Source organism: Homo sapiens, chromosome 2 (assembly GCF_000001405.40).
Source record: "Homo sapiens chromosome 2, GRCh38.p14 Primary Assembly".
NCBI lineage: Eukaryota > Metazoa > Chordata > Mammalia > Primates > Hominidae > Homo > Homo sapiens.
This window is the reverse complement of record NC_000002.12, coordinates 144,002,359-144,023,229: the sequence shown is the minus strand read 5'-3', so window position 1 is coordinate 144,023,229 and position 20,871 is coordinate 144,002,359. Positions and strand designations below refer to the sequence as shown.

At 37.3% G+C, this 20,871-nt stretch overlaps 1 protein-coding gene across 67 annotated transcripts in view; it reads left to right on the top strand.

Annotated features, from left to right (window-relative positions):
• Positions 1–20,871, top strand: part of QTMAN (queuosine-tRNA mannosyltransferase) — a 395,002-nt gene that overhangs the window by 309,840 nt on the left and 64,291 nt on the right. For 35 of the 67 annotated variants that reach the window (NR_164800.2, NR_164799.2, NR_164804.2 and 32 more), the window contains one exon: positions 15,695–16,048. The exons of 11 other annotated variants lie outside the window; for them this stretch is intronic. Coding sequence is in view for 46 of the 56 variants with exons in the window: in NM_001376320.2 (NP_001363249.1) it covers positions 15,695–16,048 (354 nt within the window). In the remaining 10 variants the exon portion in view is untranslated. Of the gene's footprint in view, positions 1–8,604; positions 8,626–11,415; positions 11,563–15,694; positions 17,478–20,871 lie in introns of those variants that run through there. 21 more of the 67 variants (NR_164809.2, NM_001376317.2, NM_001376306.2 and 18 more) reach the window with 4 other exon arrangements.

Genomic DNA, 20,871 nt, shown 5'->3' with positions numbered 1-20,871 from the left:
CATGCTGAGTAATGCCTAAAAGTGAACTTGTCACCTTCCTCACCTATTCACAAAACCTTCTGTTCTGATGTGTCCTATCCATTTTCTAGTCCAAAAGTTTCTGACTTTTAGCAGGTCAGAAACTGGCTCTAACAACTTCCTATAGGATTAGATTCTCACGAACTTCAGATACTAGGACTTCTGGATAGAGAAGATAAAGTAGGTTTTAAAATAATGGTATAAGAAATAAATTGAAAACATGAGAAATAAAAAATAGACCATAAAAAATGCATATTTTTTGAAGGACTAAATAGGATTTTTATATATTTATCAAAATTAACTCAGTGGACATGCTAAGTATTACACATTGATAAAGAGAGAATTGATAAAGAGAGGATTACATTCTCATGCCTGTAATCCCAACACTTTGGGAGGCCGAGGAGGGCAGATCACAAGGTCAGGAGATCAAGACCATCGTGGCCAACATGGTGAAATCCCGTTTCTACTAAAAATAAAAAAATTAGCTGGACGCAGTGGCGTGCGTCTGTAGTCCCAGCTACTTGGGAGGCTGAGGCAGGAGAATTGCTTATACCTGGGAGGCGGAAGTTGCAATGAGCCGAGATCGTGCCACTGCACTCCAGCGTGGCGACAGAGCAAGACTACATCTCAAAAAAAAAAAAAAAAAAAAAAGAGAGAGAGAGAGAGAGATAGAATGAGAATTGGCAACCTAGAAGCTAGATAGTAAAAACTTAAAAGAATGTAGCAAAATGGAGAAAGAAATTGAAAATAGGAAAGATGTTGGGCATAGTGGCATGAATCTGCAGTCCCAGCTACTTGGGAGACTGAGGTGAGAGAATTGCTTGTGCCTAGAAATTGGAGGCTTCATTGAGCTGTGATCATACCACTGCACTCCAGCCCGGGCAACAGAGTAAGACCCCATCATATATATATACAAATTAAAAAAAAAGAAAATAGGAAAGAGATATTAAGATCTTAAAAGATGAGAATCCAACATATGTCTAATAGGAGTTCCAGATGGAAAAATTAGAAAAAATTTTAAGAGGCAATATTCAGAGAGATTTTTGCACAATATTTCCAGAGATTACAAAAATAATGAATCCCCAAGATAATTCATGTATTTAGTTTTAAAACATGAGAGAGTACAACAAAAGGTTTATAATAAAAAGCAAAATCTTCTTCCTCAGTCCTCCCTACCCCCCTGCCCCATACCTTCCTCAGAGGCTACACTCTGACAAAATTGTAGTAATTTCTTATCTTGCTATTTCTTGATTTTTTTTTAAATGTGAGAGATCTGTTGACTTTCCTGCCTTTGGAAATGATTGTGTTAGCTCTCTTTTATAAGCATGGACGCACACGCACATTTTCCCTCACCCTATTTTTCCAATATGAGTATATCTCAACTTTTGGTTAAATAAATATTCTGTGTTTACAGCATTATTACTATGTAAAAAGTGTTCCCTGCTGAGCCTCATTGTGTTCTATGATTAGATTTCCTTTCCCAAATAACTCTTCATTTTTTCCTGGAGCTAATTATTACATTGGGTTTATTTGCTTAGTTTCTGTGTCACTATCAACAAATCCATTCTCAAGCTCTGTCACTGTCACTAATTCATCTGCTCAGTGTTGGCCACATTAGGAAACCTATCATTTCCATTTTTTTCTTGGATGCTACCTTCCTGGAGGCCTCAATTCTCTTGCTCCCGTTTGTTCTATTTGCTCTTTGGGCCCTTGGGTCAACTATGTCCTGGATTCTGTGTCTTTCTCTTCCTTGGTTTACTTTTTTCTTATAGGGAGCACATCCACCAGTATCTTCTCAAGAAAAAGGGTACGTAAGAGACTTGATTGCCTGAAAATGCCTCTAGCCTACCTCACATTTGATTGATATTGGACCAAGTATTGAACTCTTATTTAAAAATCATTTATTTCAAAAGCTTGAGGTCATGTTCCATTGTTTTCTGCTTTTTAGACTTTTCTGACTCCTTGCATGTGACTTCCCTTGCTCTCTCACCTGAAAGGTATTAGGACTTTCTGGTTTACCTCTGGTATTCTGAAATTCTATAATGATTCTACTTGGATTGAATTTTGGTTCCTTTATTATTCTAGGAACTCAATACATCAGTACAAATAAATTTCTTATATTTTTTTCTTTGATTTTCTTCCCACACTATTTTCTCGGTGTTCACTTTCTTCAACTCCTAAATTGACCTTATTTTATCTCTTTTCCCATCCTCCTTATTTTTGTTTTTGTTTTTGTTCTGCTTTCTACAAGATTTTCTCCACTTTATCATTCAGCCCTTCCATCGATTATTTATTTATTTTTTTTTTAGTTATATTTTTAATTGCAAGCACTCTTTATTGTTCTTGGATGTCCTTTCTTACTGCATTTGTCTTTTCTGCCATGGATGCAATTATCAATGTGAATATTTCTTATAGGTTTTTTTTTAAGTTTTTTCCTGTTCTCTACATTGTCTCAGTTTCTTCCAAGTGAAACAGGAAAAGTTCCCTTGTTCCCCTCCCAGGGTGTGTGATGGGGGTGTGACTTGCTGCTTCAGCGCCCCACTGCTCAAACCTCTAGGGGAGCATACAGACAGGGAGACTGTGGGGGTCTGACCCCATGGCAGTATCTAGGCATGAATGTTTACAGCTGAAGCCCCAATGGGCATGTGTTACAGGGTGCTCTTTTAGTTTTGCTGTCTATAGGTGCCTTGTTTTAACCAGCTCAATTAAACCTCTACCTTGTCACAAGGACAGAGGGTTTTCTGTATCCTGGGTTCTTTCCTTGGTGTACCGGAAGAATCGGATCATACCCAGTGCCTGTCAGTACATTCCTCTGGATGTCCAGCCACCCGTGTGTTCCTCCCCTGATGTGCTTCTTTCAATATTCAGCCGCCTGTGTGTCTGCCTGCTGGGGTCTCAGGGTTTTTATAGGCCCAGGATAGGGGCGTGGCAGGCCAGGGTGTCTTGGGAAATGCAGCATTTAGGCAGGAAATGCCTGTCTTCACCTAGGTCCATGGGGGTGGAGCCCTAGCCAGGGACCCCACCCTCCCCTACCCAGCACTTCCCTTCCCCCATTCCCTATCATTTAAAGGGACCATGCTCTTCCCTTTCCAGCACTTGCATATCACAAGTTCCTTTCTTATGCTTTGTCTTGTTTATTTCATGTTACGAGTTTTCCTCAAATGTCTGCTGGTTCCTGGCTGTCCATTCATATCAGAGAGCAAGAACTGCGACGGATGATTAGAAGTTCTCTGTTCAGAGACAGCGCTTGTTGACTGGTGACCTTTCTCATGGAATGAACAAACAAATTCAATTATTTTGTTGTGGCATCCCCACATTTCAGTTTCACTAAGTCAGTTTAGTTAGTTTCCAGAGAAAGGCTCTTATAATTTCCTAGAAGGTGAATCTCCAGCTCTCTGGGAGCCAAATAGGTGAAAGGTTCTGGAGAAACATCACCAATGAATGGGTGTACTTTCACTTCACTCACCCTTGCCTTTGGCCTCCCCTGGTCTCTGGTTTAACCCCTCAAGTTAGGAAGCATCCTTTCTGGTGTTGAAGTGGGAGCTGCATAGGCTTAGAGAAGTTATCAAGGGGGTTGATTTCTCTCTATGTAAAATCACTATCAATTCTTCTGTTTTCAGTTTCGCTCCACAAGTGTACCTCTATATAGAGGAACCTGGACTGATAAATTCCTGAGCCTTTCCGAGTTTCTGTGGAACACGCAACCTTCTTCTTGTCTAAAACTACATACACACACACACACACACACACACACACACACACACACACACACACACCTGCATGCTTATGGACACATTCTGCCTCCCCCTCTCTGCTCAACCACCGCTCATCCATCTGCTTTCCATCTTCTGAAATTTGGTTCACATTCTTTTCCATTGCAGTCCTTCCCAGTTTTTCATTTTATCCTTGTATGCCTATGCCTTTTAAATAAATTCCCTACCATTATTTTAGTAGGAATTGAAAAGGCAAGGGAGGATTGAACATTGGTGTTTGCTCTAGCATGTTTGCCCCAGTCCATTCAAGCCGTATCTGGAATGTTTATTCAGACCCAATCTGACCCCTCACTTGTGTCATTAAGGGCAGAAAGGCCTCTCCCTGCTTATTTTTCAGGCCTCATCTTTTGTCCCTCCCCTCCCCACACCTTCCCATCTATCTCTGCCCAGTCAATGCTCTGGCCATGTTTTGATTTTTATCTCTGGACCATATTCTCTCTTGCCCTGGGCTTTATGCACATGCTGTTACTCTTAGCACATCCCAGCTCTTGCTCCCATACCTGGCTAACTTGTAGTTATCATGGAGGTCACAGCTGAAGATCAGCTTCTCTAGAGAGCCTTCCCTGGCACTAACTCCCTTTCTAGGGCTGGGTTCTCATCTTGTATCACCTAATTCTTTCCTGATTGAAGCACCTACCACATTATATGTTCCATGAGGACATCTTAGCTAATTTACCTGGCACATAATAGGCACTCTAATTTTTGTTGAATGAGGAATGACTGTTTCTTTCTCTGAACCTTTTTCACTCAGTGTTTTCACTGAGTATTTGCTGTCTTTGCCTTCAAGCCTTGCTTATATTGTAGTAATGAGTAATGGCCCAGCAAGTCAGATATTTCAAATTTATCCATCTGTTTTATTTTTACTCCCTTTTTCTGAACTAAGAAATACTAAAATGTGTAGAAAAGCTGAAGTAAGTAGAAGTGTTTATACCTCATTTTGTATACTTACAGGTTTTATTTCAAATGTAAAATTAACAAAATTATGTCTTCCAATATTAATTCTGGATGAGGTCAGTTTCTGTGGCTTAAAAATTAGATAGCAATATAATCAATTTGAATTGAATCAATACTTACTGTCCGAACATTTAATATGGGAGCCAAAAGAAAAAAAAAAGTGGTTATGTTGAAAGTTGGCTTTGCTGGTAATTTTGATATATTCAGGTTGTGGATAGGCAAATGAAAAAGAAAAAAAGACTAGATTTTTTATGTCCATCTGTTCATGCTTCAGAGATCTGGAAACTGAAGTTTTAAATTTCCTGGTTTTATTTTCCTGGTTTATGCAGTTTTAAGAAGGAAAATGACAGAATCTCTCAGAAAAATGAAGGAATATAAGTAAAGACAAGGAAAAGTAAAAGGTGGAAAACAGTATCATAGGAAAGACATAATAGAAATGGAGGAATATATTAATTTAATTAATAACATTGGACCTTTTTACAGTTAATGTATCTCTAGGCGTGAATACAATTCTTTGATTAGTATACAAAAGAAAAGAAGATAACATTAAAAGTACCTGCCTTAAGTGGATGGCTAAAGTATAAGAACTAATAAGAAAAATATGTCTTGAAGAAAGCATGGGTCTCTAGTTTATAAAATAGGCTCAATTATGAAAGGGCCAATGGAGTCTTGGACTAGAGTTTTTAGAATGTTGAATGTTTCTCTAGTAACGATTAAATGCCATGATGACCTTCACCACTATTATCAATATAAAAAATAATGGCCAGTAATAACTGAGTTCTTAATATGTGCCAAGCAACATGGAAACATAATTCTGCAAGGCATTGTTACTATTATCCCCATTTTACAGATGACATAATTGATTCTTATAGAAAAGACTTTTCTCAGGTCAGCTAAAAAGTGACAGAGCCCTTAATTTACAACCAGTCAATATGCCTAGACCCCTTTATGCCATTTTGCCTCATAACAATAAGATAATCATTAGACTTGATTAGATGCTTAATCCTTACCTCTGTGAGAAGTCCAGGACTAGCCTCATTCTTACTGTACAGATGAGAAAACTCAGGTTTAGAAAAATTAAATGACTTTATTCACAACCAAATTTTAAAGAAAAACTCCTTTCCTGAAACACAAATCTTTAAATTTTTTTATTCATTTTAATTTTTTAAAAAGTAACATTTGGGCCAGGCACAGTGGCTCACACCTGTAATCCCAGCACTTTGGGAGGCCGAGGTGGGTGGATCACAAGGTCAAGAGATCGAGACCATCCTGGCCAACATGGTGAAACCCCGTCTCTACTAAAAATACAAAAATTAGCTGGACGTGGTGGTGCATGCCTGTAATCCCAGCTACTCAGGAGGCTGAGGCAGGAGAATTGCTTGAACCCGGGAGGCAGAAGTTGCAGTGAGCTGGGATCGTGCCACTGTGCTCCAGCCTGGCGACAGAGTGAGACTCTGTCTCAAAAAAAAAAAAGTAACATTTGGCTTTAGAATAAAGTTCACATACATTTTCTCCTTTTTATTCCCCAAATTTTCTCGTCAGTTTTGATAGCTTGTTCATCTTTCAAAATAGTATATTTTTGTCACTATCAACATAAATATAGTATCTCCTTCTCTGTTACTTTTCTGATACTCTGTTCAGGAAATTTGACCCATCATAGTGTTGTCCCATTGCCCTTTTTCCGCCATAGTATTCAGTAAAATCATGTCATATTCCAAAGGAGACTCTGTAATTGGAAACACTGTCCTAGGGGAATTCTTATATTTGTTTGGAAAGAAGAAAGTAATCCTTTCTTCAACAGCAGTACGTTTTCCCATCCTATTTTCAACCTGCAAATGATGGCTTCCCCTAAAATATCTTGGAATAGAACACATGATTAGAGACCATTTTTAGGGTTTCCATCAATGCTTTATTGATACTATAGGAGACATTTAATTCCAAAGGTAATGAGAACACTTGTGAACAAGGTAAATTCTTACACAGAAAGAGCAAATGTACGTGGGAAACAGCTATTTCCTCTTGCTTGGAAGAGATAACTTCTGATCCATATTGGGAAAATATTTTATTGTCCTATACTATCATCATATTAAGTGAGGTGAATAAATAGAAGCTTTTGAAACTTGGCTTCTGAGTTTCAAATTGAAAAAATGATGAACAAATTATTAAGTTTGAAAAAAGTTAGGTCATTTGAGTGATAGAGATAACATACTTTAGTAAACACAGTTTAGTTTAAAGATTATATGGGTAATTTACAATTTGGGGGGTTAACAGACCAAAATCAGTATGTATGAAATGTCACTATACGTACTGAAAGCTTCATTGTGCAGATACAACCTCTTGCACATAGAAGGATCTTAAATATTTTTTGAATGAATATTTGCTAACTGAGTCAACACAGTGAATCGTTCACTGACTGACTAGGGAATGTAGTGTTACTCAACGTGGCTTAAATATGGACATCATGTAGGGGAGCAAGGAATGGCAAGTTTACTTAGATTTAGTCAGCTCCTACTACACGTCACGCCCGACACATGTTCTCCTTTTTAATGCTCTCAAGAAATTTACAAGCACAGATATTACTATCCTATTTTACAGATTAGAAAACTGAGGTTCAGAGAAATTAACTGATTTGAATAAACTCCAAAATTGAGGAAGTGCCAGTACAGTCTCTGTACCAACACAGCCTGGATTCTCACCACTTCAACATAACCTGTTGCTTGAGTGGAGTAACTTGAGGTGCTTCACAGAGATTTCTTTACCTGTCCCCCAAAATAATCTTCTTCACAGGCTTACTGTGGTACCTGAACATACCCCATTTGTGATTACTTCCATTGAATTAAGGTATTGCCTCTGTTGAAAGGTATAATGCATTGAGCACAAAATATGATGAGTGCATTGTAACAATTTAAGATTAGTTTCCAACAAGACCAATAACAGAGAGCCCAGCATGATTCAGAGCTGGATCCAAAATGGGACATAGTTTCAAGGTAGGCTGCAAGGAGACCCATAGTGGCAGTGGTGGGTGAGGGGAGGGTGGGTATGGGGAGTTACCTGGGCACTGAGAAAGTAGTATAAAGACCTTAGGAAATTGACCACCAGTGGGCAGAGAATGCTTTAAAGTGGAGGTAGGAAAATAAAGATTTCCTGTTTTCAGTTTAGCCTAGGGCTCTGCCAAACTGTGTTGAATTACTAGAGTAAACCTTGTGTAAACGAGAGAGTTTTGTTGTTGTTCTTAGAGAGCTCTTTTTAGGGGGGAGTGGGGATCGTGAGAAGTGAGTGTACATATGTTAGCAAGGATGGCTCTGGGTTTGATAAACATTTGTTCTGGCAACATGTAAGGTAGCTTTTCTTATTCTCATACATTCATAAGGACCTTAAATTTTCTGCGTGGGAGGAATATATCCTAAAGGGATTTTATAAAATTGAATAAGACAAACTGCTCATACTAGTAGGCAGTTAAATTAGCAATGTATACAATCTAAACACTTTGAAATTAAAAGAGAATGGGGAATTTAGGCATAATTATTTAAGTTAAATAATGCTAATCACATAAGTGGTGTTGCCAGAAGAGGCCATATAAGCAAATGGTATAAATAAGGTTATCTGGAAAGTGTTAGATTTTCAGAAATGACTCATAGAAATGGTAGTGGGAAATAAAAATATAAAAGAATAGGCTGCTGGAAATAGAACCATCTTTTCCTTATAACAGCCCATATATATCCCAGCTATTGAAAGGACAGACATCAGGAAATGATGCACCTTTTAAAGCAGAGAAGAGAAAGCTAAAGCTTCTCTTTTTAACAATGGAAGATTCTCTTTTCAATGGAAGATGCTGTCTTTGCTGAGTGTCATATCCCTGGGACCAGACATGGCTAATGAGGTCAGTCTGATAACTAGAAATTTTCTTTCCATTTCAGCATGTATTACTCAGGCCAATAAGTAGGGTTTGCTTGTTAATTTTGACTTATAGCTAGTCTCTGTGGATCCTGTTTTTCCTATCTTATCGCAGATTCCTCATAGTTCAAGCAAGACAGTCTTGCTCAGTATCCTCTCACAGAATGCTGTATTTCATGTTGGCTTTAAAAGTTTGTACCATGAGAAGCAAAATTTCAGGCATCAAGCATTGAATACTTAACAACATAGCCTCACAGCCACGGTTGGGCTAGCGGGTATTCCCCCAGAGCATTTGTGCAGTGTGCATCATGATTGGCTCATCTGTGATTCAAGTTTATTTAAATAATGTTCTGCCAGAGTTCCTTACTGAAACATCCTTCATAGACATGTGCCACCTATTTTATGAATATTAGCTGTTAGCCATTACCGGTAAAGAAGAGCATGCAGCCATACTGCAGCCGACCAGCCAAGGATAAGTGTGTCTTTCTGTTTAATGTTGTGGTCTCCAAACATCTCATTTTAAATTGGGATGGGTTTCCTTGCTTTTGATTCCATTATTTAGTGAAGATAGTGTGACGGAGGAATGGGGGTGTCTGTGTACGCATGAGAATGCCATATCAAAATTTTTACTTTTATACTTTACAGGTTATATAAATCTGCTCATCATATAAGTGATATATTGGACACATGTAGGGTAGCATGATTTTTTAATTATCTTTGATATTTGCTTATGTGGCTAGATTCTAAAAATGTTAATTTTATAATTAATTTCCACCACATTGTTTGGCAACAAGGAATAGTTTTTGTTGTAAATCACCCAAGGCCTTAGATCGCTGAACTGCCTCAATGTGCCTTCCCAATTAGTTTTGGAAAACTTATTTATTTTAATTTCTATTTTCCTTCTCCTCAATTTGGTTTCTATCCAGGGATCTACAGAAATCATTTTGATAAAAACTGTTGATATTTTTTCTGCTGTCATCCATATTAGCCTTGAACCATATCTTCTGTCACTTTTTCACTGATTCTCCTGCTTTCTTTTAGACGTCCTTTTGTCTACTGATATGTCACATTGGTGTATGGCTTCAAGTTTGGATTTCATCATTTTCCCACATAAATGTATTTCTCATTCTTTTTGCAATCTCTATTATATAAAATATGCCACCGCCCATCTGGCTGCCCCATGCTTCTCAGACTCTGGCTGTGCACCTCCTAGGGCCTCAAGTAGTATTTCCCAGAGTATCCTTTGTTGACCATTAATTCTTAAGCTGTGTCCTGCAGGGGTAGGTGAGGAGGAGGTGGACAGGTTTCTTACTCCAGTAAGCTTGGGAAACAATTATCACATCCCCATCACATATTAGGTACTCAATAGGTACTTACTGAATGAATGAGTTAATGAATGAACATATTTATAATATATAGTAACATGTACTTTGGGAAGTTAATAGTAAAGAAATGTTTAACTTTATTTAACTTAGCATTTTCCAAACTTGTTTTCCCACAAAACCATCTCTGGTGCAACATCTACATGTGTCCCATGGAATCAGTGTTGCACAAAACACACCTGTGAAACACCAGCCTGAGGGATACAACGCTGTGGCTCTACTACTCCTCCCTCCCCCAAACCCGAGCTAGAATGTGAGACACGCTGAACTTCATCAACTCCCTCTCTCCTTGTCTGCCCCATATGTAGGCCAGTTTCCTTATTCCACTTACTAACACCCTCATATCTCTTCACTGGCTCAAATATGGAATAATCTTGTATCAGTTATACACGCTCTCTCTTTCTCTTTAATCATACACTAATTAATTAATTTTCACCTGCTATCTTCCAAATGTGTTTTGAGAAACAGGATGACTAATAATCTCTGTCATATGGACTTTTACCCTTGGGCATTTATTTATGAGATTCTGTAGGTTGAACTTACCATAGTAAGTACTTTTTATTAAAATCTCTCAAAAAGACAGTTGTGAGGAGTGTATTCCACCATGGCATGTGTTTCAGCCATGATATTCTATTCAACGGCACATGAATCAACATGAATGTCCAAAGTTGACTTGTTTTGTGTTAACCTTATTGCCTGCCTTCTGACTACCTCTGTGAGTCAACTGCAAGTACTCTAGCCTCTCGACTATAGCAGAAATAAGCTAAGGTGCCCAGAGCACTTCTTTTGCTTACCATCAATCTTAGTGGCATTTAAAACTGCTCTCAAATCTAGTCTTTTCCCGGCTGATATGAAAAAGGCAAAGGCCTTTGGTTATTCCTACAGGTCGATCTTAGGTTTGTGTTTGGACATGGGGACTGTGGTGAGGGGTATACATTTAGATCTAGAAAGTGCTTGTTCCAGCTGTGTCTTTAAACATTGCCCAACATAGTACTGGGGTTTTGTGGCAATGCTTCTGGAACCATACTGGCGGACAGAGGTGGGAAGGAAAGGAGTCTGAGGGGATGGGCAGCAGGAGAGGGGCTCTGTTTCTGTTTCACATATTGGCTATTGGTTGGAAAGGAGTTGGGGGTGGAGATCCCATGGCTAATAACAGATTGGAAATGATTATGGCAATCCGAATATTTCTAAAGTTAGAAATAGGTTCTGATGGAGTTTCTAAGAGATTTGGAAACAGGAAGAAGCATTCTGTAAGATGGGCAGTAGAATTTACTTAAGAAAAATGGGGAAATTATTAAATGGGAAACCTGACATATGTGGATTACTGTTTTTCTTCTGACCCTTTCTTTTCTCTCTTTCACTTCTTACCTCGGGACCTTTTCTCTTCTCATTAGCACCTCCACCAGAGTTGGAACTGGGAAAGAGAAAGGAAGTGTTCAGACATGTGCCTATTTGCATAGTCACGTCATTGAATTAATGCCAGGACAGCACAAACATTCTGTCCAGTTCTATAGAAAAGCCAGTTTCACCCCATCAGTAAGGTATTATTTCCTTTTTTTTTTTTTTTTACTAGCATAGAACAGTTTATTGCCAGGCTTCTCTTAACTGTACATTATAAATAGTGTCTGATTAAGAATGTTCTGGATGGGTTAATTAGTGTGGTGACTATTATTAAGCAAACTGCTTGTTAGTATTATGCCTATTTGATCTTGGTATTGATGTGAAGTAATTGACCATAGAGCTACATTTAGAAAAGCTGAAATAAAGTTTTTTTGATTTCTATTATAGCAATAAATTGTTTATATTAAACATGTCTATGAAAATATGAGTTTCATGACACAGAATCAGAATAGATTGTGTGGGATGGTGGATGTGGTTGGTTTTGTTTTGTTTTTAGTATTATTAATACATTTGTTCAGCCTAATTCAAGACTAGCTTTATTGTAACAAAGTAGTACAAAAGTGTTTCAGCTTCTGCCTTCATTCTTACCACAGAGTGTATGAAAACTAAAGTGTTTTTAACTTTCCCCAACTAAAGGATATATCCTGTTAGATTTGGCTAATTGCCTAAATACTTCTTTTGGTGACAATCACTATAATGAATAGATTATAAGAAAAATTTGAAAAGATACTATAAACAAGGAAACCGTAGCTTGTAACTACCTTCTTTCAAGTACCGGATTGTTATCTATATTATTTATTGGTAGCTTGTCCAGTTCTATTATTAAGGTTTCCTAGCTGTAGCATTTCCATAGGGAATTGATTCCATGAGCTAATAAATTACACCGTCAGGGAGTTTTTCTTGAAATTCAGCTTAAATTTTCCCATTCTTAATTTCATCCCGTTACTCCTGGTTATACCCCCTTGTACCAAGCTAAATAATTATTCTTTTTCCTTAGAGACTCTTATTATGTACCCTTCTGTTTGTCACTTAACCAGGCTATTCATAGTTAGCTCCTTTAATCTGTCCTCATAAATCAATTCTTCCATTGCCTTAATTATTATTATTGCTCTTCTAAACACTCTCTAATTTTCAAACATATACAGTTCTCAGGTGCCCCAGATGACATCAGCATTTGCACAGGGTTCTATCCTGACAGACTTAGTGTCTTCCTTCCCTGTACAACAAGATCCAGAACTAAATGGCATCAGTTCGCTGAATCAAATCAGCTCTTGCTCATCTTGTCCAATTCAGCATGGTCTAAATGGTGTTTTCTATGTGCCCTACCTCCATTCAAGGTTTATTTTGATTTGTTTCAATTTTGTGAGATTTGTAAGCTGTTTTGATTGCTGCCCCTATTTATATTCTGCATCTTTCCATGTCCCTATTCACTATGACCTATCAAGTCAGTCATCTGCAACTTGTCTTAACATGGGATTCTATTCATCCTTGAGAACATTTAGGGAAGGTGTTGAATAAAAGTAGGCCTCACACCCTTGCCCACAGCTAAATTCCTTGTCAGTTACCAATTCCTGTTGTTTACAACCCTTTAGCCAATCTCCCATCTCTTTTAATTTGCAATTTTGCTCACATGCTGGCCAATATAAATGAATTTTATGAGTAAGATGGGTCATGATACTGTTTTCTAAAATGAAAATATGTTGTTTGAATCCCATAGATTTTTTTTTTCTTTTTTTTTTTTTTTTGGTGAATCCTTCATGAGCTAAGTTTGTGATTCTGTTAAAATCCTTATTAAGCTTGCCTGGCACTCTTTATCTGACATAAACAAATAGGTTACTTCAATTGCTTTATTGTTCTCCAGATATGTACAGATGTTCCTTCTCTTACCATTTGTTCCATTTCTTTAGGAGAATTGAAGATAGTGTCATAGTCATTCTATTTTTTTACCTTTTCTGGTGATCAATGGCAATTTTTTATGTTGTGTTTTAGTTTCTAGAATCTCTTCAGTATTTTGAATTTGTTTCCAGAAGAAGTTGATTGGTTCCCACCATAATTTGGGGCCTATGCAGTTTGAAACTATAGTCTGTAAATGCCCAGGTTTCTTTCCATTTTAAATCAAGGACTAAATTTACTATTTTATTAGGGCATATTTAAGGGGTTAGTACCATTCTTTGTGTTTTGTCTTTCTGTATACAATCATCTCTTTATTACTTGGGGAGTTCTTATGTATTTGTTTGAGTTTCCTCAAGGCATTTGAAATTAGAATAGAAATTTAAAGATCTTTATGAAACAAACATAGAAGCCCCCAAAACAAGCTTTCTGGTTCTGGAATGTACATAGGGTCCTACAGCCAAAGACCTTGTTTCTAGCTCCTGTGACTCCTCCATTGTTTCTTAGTGTTGCCTATCAGCCCTTGCTTTCAGCCCTATTTAACGCCCTCTCCCTGTCTCCACAGTGACTGTCCTGAGGCCTCAGTGAGTTTCTGAAAGCCTATCTCCACCTCTGTTCACCTCACTGAAATAGATGAACTGACCTAGTGCTTTAATGAGGCAACTCCTTAGATTCTACACCTGCCACCTAAAGCTGTTTTGTTTTTTCAGCTTCATTTCTCTCTTTTTCCCTCAGCTTTGCAAGAAAGCGAGGTTCACTATCTTTACAAGACCCTGCTTGCTTTTCCCCTACACTATGATCACCATGTTATAATGTTTTTCTCCTTCCATCTTATAAGATTTTTCTGTTTCTTCAGGATCCCGCTTCCTTCCCTAGCAAGTATTCCCAAGTGAATAACACTGTGCCCATGTGCCTCATTTTTAAAAGTCCAACCTTGCCTTCCCCTCCCTTCTCTCTACCTCCTTTTCTCTGCCTCTCTCTTTCATACACAAACCCTAGCCTCCTGCAGTCTGATTTCTGCCCACACCACTCTTTCAGCAGGAGCAGAGAGTGGCCTGTCGAAGTAGCCAGTGACCTATGATGTGACAAGGCCAAAAGCTTCTTGTTTCTGCTTTGTAGCACCTCTGCAGTGTTTTATGCCCCATTTTACACGTTCTTTGAGGGTTCTTGATTCATTTCAATAATGTGATATTACTCTCTTGGATTCTCTTCCTACTCTTCCAGATGTTCCCTTCTGCTCTCCTTCCATGGTTTTTCTTTTTCACCTACCTCTGAAACCCATTTCTTCCCCTACACAACAATTCAGGGAGGCCAAGTTTCTGGATGGGGCTCAGGAACTCTGAGAAAGGACTTGGTAGTCTGGCCCAGTCTACCCCTCTAGACCTTACATCCAGACCTGCATCCCAGTCTCTTTGGGTTGCATGTTATTTCCTGAGGAGTTGTATTTCTTCACCCCTTTTTCCTTTGATCTCATATTCTCTGACTCCAGAGCTTCCCTGACTCTGTCTTGCAAAATGCTTTACCTAAAGCCTTCTTTAAGCCTTTATTGAGCCCCAAGTCAGCATTAATCTCTTCCCCTCCATTAAAAAAAAACTGGAATGGCCATTGTATGTATAGTATGTTCCAGCGTAGGTTAGTTGGCTGTTCTTGTGTCTGTCTCCTACTCTTCTCTAAGCACTAATGGTTTGCTTTCCAATAGACGGTGAGCTCCTTGAGGATAGCCCCTCTATTTGTATTATGTGGCTTACAGGTTTTAAGCTATAATTTTTTAAGGTTTCATTTTATTTTGATTCTCTATCGATAAGTAACAGACATTGAACTCTTTGTGATAAAGTGTCCTGGAAAGATAGGAGAGAAATGATAATAAAAAAGATATTAAAATATACTTCAGGAAACATTAGCCAAGTCAATTTAATACAAAGTATATTCAGATGCCCAGGAATACAGAACAGTCATGAGCAGAAATGACCAGTGTTAATCAAGGAAGTTTCAAACATTTTTGTAGGTTAATGAACAAGTATGGCCTGAAAATAAGCACTGGGCCATGTGGTGATTGGAAAACACAAAATGGAAATCCAGAAGGATGAGTGAGGGAAGAGTGATAAACCATCTCTGTAATCTTATGTTTTATGGTATGTGCAGTGCAAGTTTTATAGCCATAGAAACTCTTTGGAAACTATTCAAAGACAGCCCAGTCCAATTTCAAACTTTTGAACTTCTCTTAGTGGCTACTACTTTTTACACTTTTTCTGGAATTTTTGTATAACATCTTTATTTTTTCTCAGTTTTATATATAATCATTATGTACTTACAGGAAGGTAAAGGACAAATTTTACATATTTTTTTCCACTAAAAGTATATTGCATTCTTTTTTTGTAACAGATTCATGCCCAAGCACAAAACAACCCATTTAAAGAAGATGCTCGGCCTTAAAGGAAATGGCGGTGCGGTTCTGTCCATGGCCCTTCCTTTTCAGCCAGAGCAGAGAGATTCAGAGGATTTATTGAAGAATTTTAATTCAGAGTGTGATACACACTGTGGCCTTGATACTGCACGACAAGAATATTTGGGTAACTCATTAAGACAGGAATCAGACTTGAAAAAATCCACCTCGTCAGATAATTCAAGCTCTCATCATGGTGAAAATAAACAAAATCTGACTGTTGATCCCTGTGACATTTTGGGTGGAGTTGATAATCAGCAAAGACTGCTACACATTGTCTGGCCTCACAGGTGGTAAGTCAAGGCATGCCAATTTAGTAAGAGTTGTAGAACTGGTAAAAGAAAATATATTCTGTTGATTGACATAATAATTTGTTCTTCTTATTGCTTTAGAAAAAGATTATTTTAATGTGGTGGTATTACTAATGATCTGCCAAGGTGGTACTACTAAATATCTTCACATGAATGGTCATGTGCTTAGATTAAATTTGAATTACAGGTAATTATTTGCTGCAATTTGCTCAACTAACAGTAGTGGGTAGGCACTTCTAGCATATCAAGTCTTGTTCAGAAAGTTTCAAAATATAAGAATCAGATTCCATTTTATGCACACACACACACAGTTATCACAAAACTATTTCATATATACACACTGATACAGCAATATTACCATTAAAGCAAGAATAATTTCCATTATTTACTACCTTGACCAGTTTCAACAGGGTGGCTTCATTTTACTTGTCATAAGATGTATATCAGTACATTTGAAACCATTCCCTTCACTCAGATGCCTCTGTATTGTGCTAAGCAAAATACTTTCTAGCCAAGTCTTTTCTAAACAGAGGAAAATCAACTGCAGTATGTGATCTCACCAAATAAAAACTCAAACTTAACCCTGGCTCCTATAAATTAGGATTTAAAGAAGTAAAATGTCCTGATAATCTTCTGGTATTAGGCATGAACATTTTAATCTAGTTTTTATTCCTCCCAGTTAGTTTAATCTGCATGTGGCCTGATTAGAGTACACTTCCCCCACAGATTATGGTCTCTTTATTGCAGAGATGCTAGGCTGATCATTAGGTCCGATTTTCTGAGAGCAACCGTTTGCAGGTGAAGTAATAAGAGCACCACACCGGCCGGGCAAAGCGCCTTTGCCGAGGATTTGCCTTCCAGCACATTAAAACTCTAGAAGCTCTCCCAGTTGATCTGCAGCATCTGGTACCTAAAGGGATTTTCATCTTTAATTCTAAATGTATGAACGTAAAATGTAGGGATTGAAAGTTGATGTGGAATGTGTTTTTGAATTTGTTTGTGCAACTTCATACTTCCAGCATAGCCTTTCTAAGGTAGTGACAGGTATATTTAAATCATATTTTACTTCGAATGTGACAGAGTTCAATATTATTTAATGTGATTTTAAAATGCAGTGGGTCTAGATGAGATTAACCTGTTTCAAGGTAAAATAGATGTCATCATTTACTCCCTTCTGAAAAGCTTTTTCTTTTATTCCATTAACCTTTGGTTGTCTCTGAAGTACTATTTATTGCAGGAAAATCAGTTCTAAAAGTTGGTTCCAGGGTATCATGAAAATGTTAAATTAAATAATTTCTAGTCTGCTTTTACAAAACAGCAATATGGAGGAAAGAGTGAAAACCATGTTATTCAATACTTTGCACAAAATAAGACAGAGCTATGTTAATAAAATTAACAATACTAAATTGAATAATTCCCTGTCTTCCTTTGTATATTTTTGCTTTAATTTAATTTAATTGCCTAAAGTTAGTTGCTTAAAGAGATGCAGCATTATGTTTGTGCATATTCTTATTGTTAAAGCTAAATTATTTTTAATTTGGAGAAGAGGGAAAAAAGCCGCATCAACAAGAGTAAATGCCAAAATATAAAAGTAACACATTCATCCTTACGGGTAATATAGTAGAACATTGGAAACTTGGAGGTTGCCAGACACATAGCTAACATTAGGGCTAATTTTGAAAATCTAGCGTGCAGTCAATTTTACTGATGCCTGGGGACATACAAGGTAGAAGCTGACAAGAGAACTAATTTTGTTTGGGTTATTTACTGCTATGCATCATCCGCAGGTTCCCGCCTGACACACAGCTATATGAAGGGGGATATTATCACACACTAAAAATTTATGTTGACATTCGATATTTGTTCAATATGTCAGGAGTATTACTTTCATAATCAAAAGAGTAAGAAAAAGAGAAAAGAAAAGCACTTTATGCTCATATAGATATATCTTTTTAATAACAGTCTATAAGGTTAATATAGTTTACCTTTGAGAGTATACAATGAAAACAAGCAGGGTTAGGAGGGGAAATGACAGAAAGCATCAACCCGAGCTGTTTGTTTGCCATTACCTAAGCGAGCCATGTCAGCTCTCTGGCCCGCGTCTGATAGCTATTTGTTGTACAGAGAGCACAGCATAAAAAAAATATCAAACTCTTAATACTATTGTGTGCCCATAACCATCTGTCACTGCTAGCCTGGAGATGAGAGGAAGATTACGAGGAATAAACACTGAGCCGCCGAGCATTGGTAAAGCCTTCGGGCAAAAAACTCTTGTGGGGACATCAAAGACATTCTAATTCCGAGGCAGTCAAGGATTACAGTGTGTAACCTGTGCTGACAACAGATAAATGACTGGCAATATTGTGCCAGAGCTGTTGGGTCCTGCATGGAGTACTGATGATGATGATGATGATGTTATCTTGCAGAATGGACTCTGCTGGGATAATTTTATGATAAAACACTTTTTTCAAATGCCACTGGGTCTAGGCAGACATTTACTAGCTACAGGGGTAGCAATCAGTTTCTTCAAAATTTACTGTTCTAAGCCCATTAGAGTTCCATCGCAGCAAGACTCTTCAATGAAAATCTAAAACGCCTATATTTTCTTTAGGAGAATTTATGCAAATGTTGTGAGCTGAACTCCTACCCTTTAGTGGTAGATGCTTTATCATCTGATTTATGTAAATTTGCTCATAAAAATACAGTTTATTTTTAATTGGTGAATATGAATTAGAAAATTAAGATTCTGGTTCAGCATTCATCAAACATCCCCAGCTACAAGCACACATTTATTTAGACCCCTGATCGTATGGGTGGAAATCGTATAATTGACCAGTCAAAATGAATGGTATTCAGAAGGAAACTATGGTTTCTACTACAAATGACCAGGGTTGTGTTTCTTGTTCAACCCCCTTAGTTTGAGCCTCCCCCATCCTTGTACTTTACATATTCTTGTCAGTATTTTGAGCTGCTTTAACTCCCTGCTTGAAAAGGGGGGTTTTCTTTACAGTAGCCTGCAGGAAGCTCTTTAGAAGCAGGAAGTCTGTTGCATTTTCACCTTGGCCATGTATCTTTACCAGAGAGAAGGCATTGATGATTGTTTCCATGTAAACCTAAAGGAGAAAGGAACACTGGAGAGGGCAATTTGGATTCTTAGATCTTGTCATTACCTTGCCTAACAAAACAAAAATAAAACCCTCCTCTATCATAAAAAAATATGCCCATGAAATCATGCAGTTGCAGTAGCCAACTCTAAAAATGAAGTGATGCTGACCTCATTGTGTTAGTTCCACACTGGGATCATGAATGGTCTAAAATATAGTGTCAGCCTCTAACATATCTCGTACTAAGCCAACCAAATGTAGAGCCTACTTGCTAGAATATGTATCAAAATCAAAAGTGACATTTTCTAGAAGACACATTCTGGCTTTAAATCTGTGTTAAAATGTCTGTGCATGAGAACAGGCCCTTAAATGCAATGCTTGCCCCTCTCCTCATTCTTTCTCAAACTGAGCTTGTCAAGGATTATAGTGTGCAACATCTGCTGACAGTAGATAAATAACTGACAGTATTTTAGCAGAGTTGCTGGGTTCTCTGCAGAGTAATTTGTTTTCTCCTTTCTACCCAGTCTTTAATGTTTTGTTATAAACATCTATAGCAAGGCACGGTTAGTAGAAATAACTTATAGAGAAAGACCTGTAAAAAACAGGCTGCAATTGGCACTGCTTGGTTTTTTTTTTTTTAACTATTTTCTTTCCAAATACTATACAAATGTTGTAATATTAATCCAGGTTCCAACCTTTATGTAAGCATTCTCTAATAATTATTATAAAGGGCATAAAAGACACACTGCTGGAAGGACCAAAAAAAACAAGTTTAGACTATATTGAAAGATCACTCTCTCAAGGCCACAGTTCTCAAACTCTTTGGTCTCAAGACTCCTTCATACTCTTAAAAATTATTGGGATACCAAAGAGCTCTTGTTTGTTGGGATTATACCTATCAATGTTTACTGTATTAGAAATTAAAACTGAGGAAAAAGTTTTAAAATCTACATTATAGCCTTTAAAATAACAAAGAACCAAATATATGTTAACATAAATAATGTATTTTTATGAAAATTAACTATATTCTCCCAAAAAAATCAGTGAGAATAGCAACATTACATTTTAAAAAATCTATAATGTCTAAGTAGAAGATATTTGGATTCTTATAACTGCTTAAGTGTTTAATTTGTTGCAATATCTTCTTTTGGTAGAAGTTTATGAAGAAATTCTGCCTCACAAAGAAATATAGCTGGAAAAGTTGAATGTTTAATGATTTCTTCAGATTATTGTAGATATTCTTCTTTGATACTATACCAAAACTTGACAAGTAGGAGTTCCTTAAAGGTTTGCTGTAATGTGGAATATGAAACCACATAAATGATTTCTTCATGCTCCATTACCTGCAGTTTGAATGGATTTTGTAGCATCATGCATTGGTGATTTGGGAAACACAGGTTCACCAAATTGAAGATCTTCTAAATGTTGACACAGTTCATTATACAATTTTAAAAAATCATATTTGTTAATATCACCATTGATCTCATAGACATTTTTGAATAATGAGAAGCTGTCAAGCTAAGATTTTAAATGCAATTTTTCAAAATTCTAATGTTCCCTTAAAAGCTTAAATTTATCTTTGCAACAAATATTATCACTTGTTTCTCCTTGAGTGACAAGTTCACATGGTTCATGTTTGAGAAAATGTCTGCCAAATAGTGAAGTCTGATTAACTGTGGTTTATCTGTCAGTTGTTCTTTG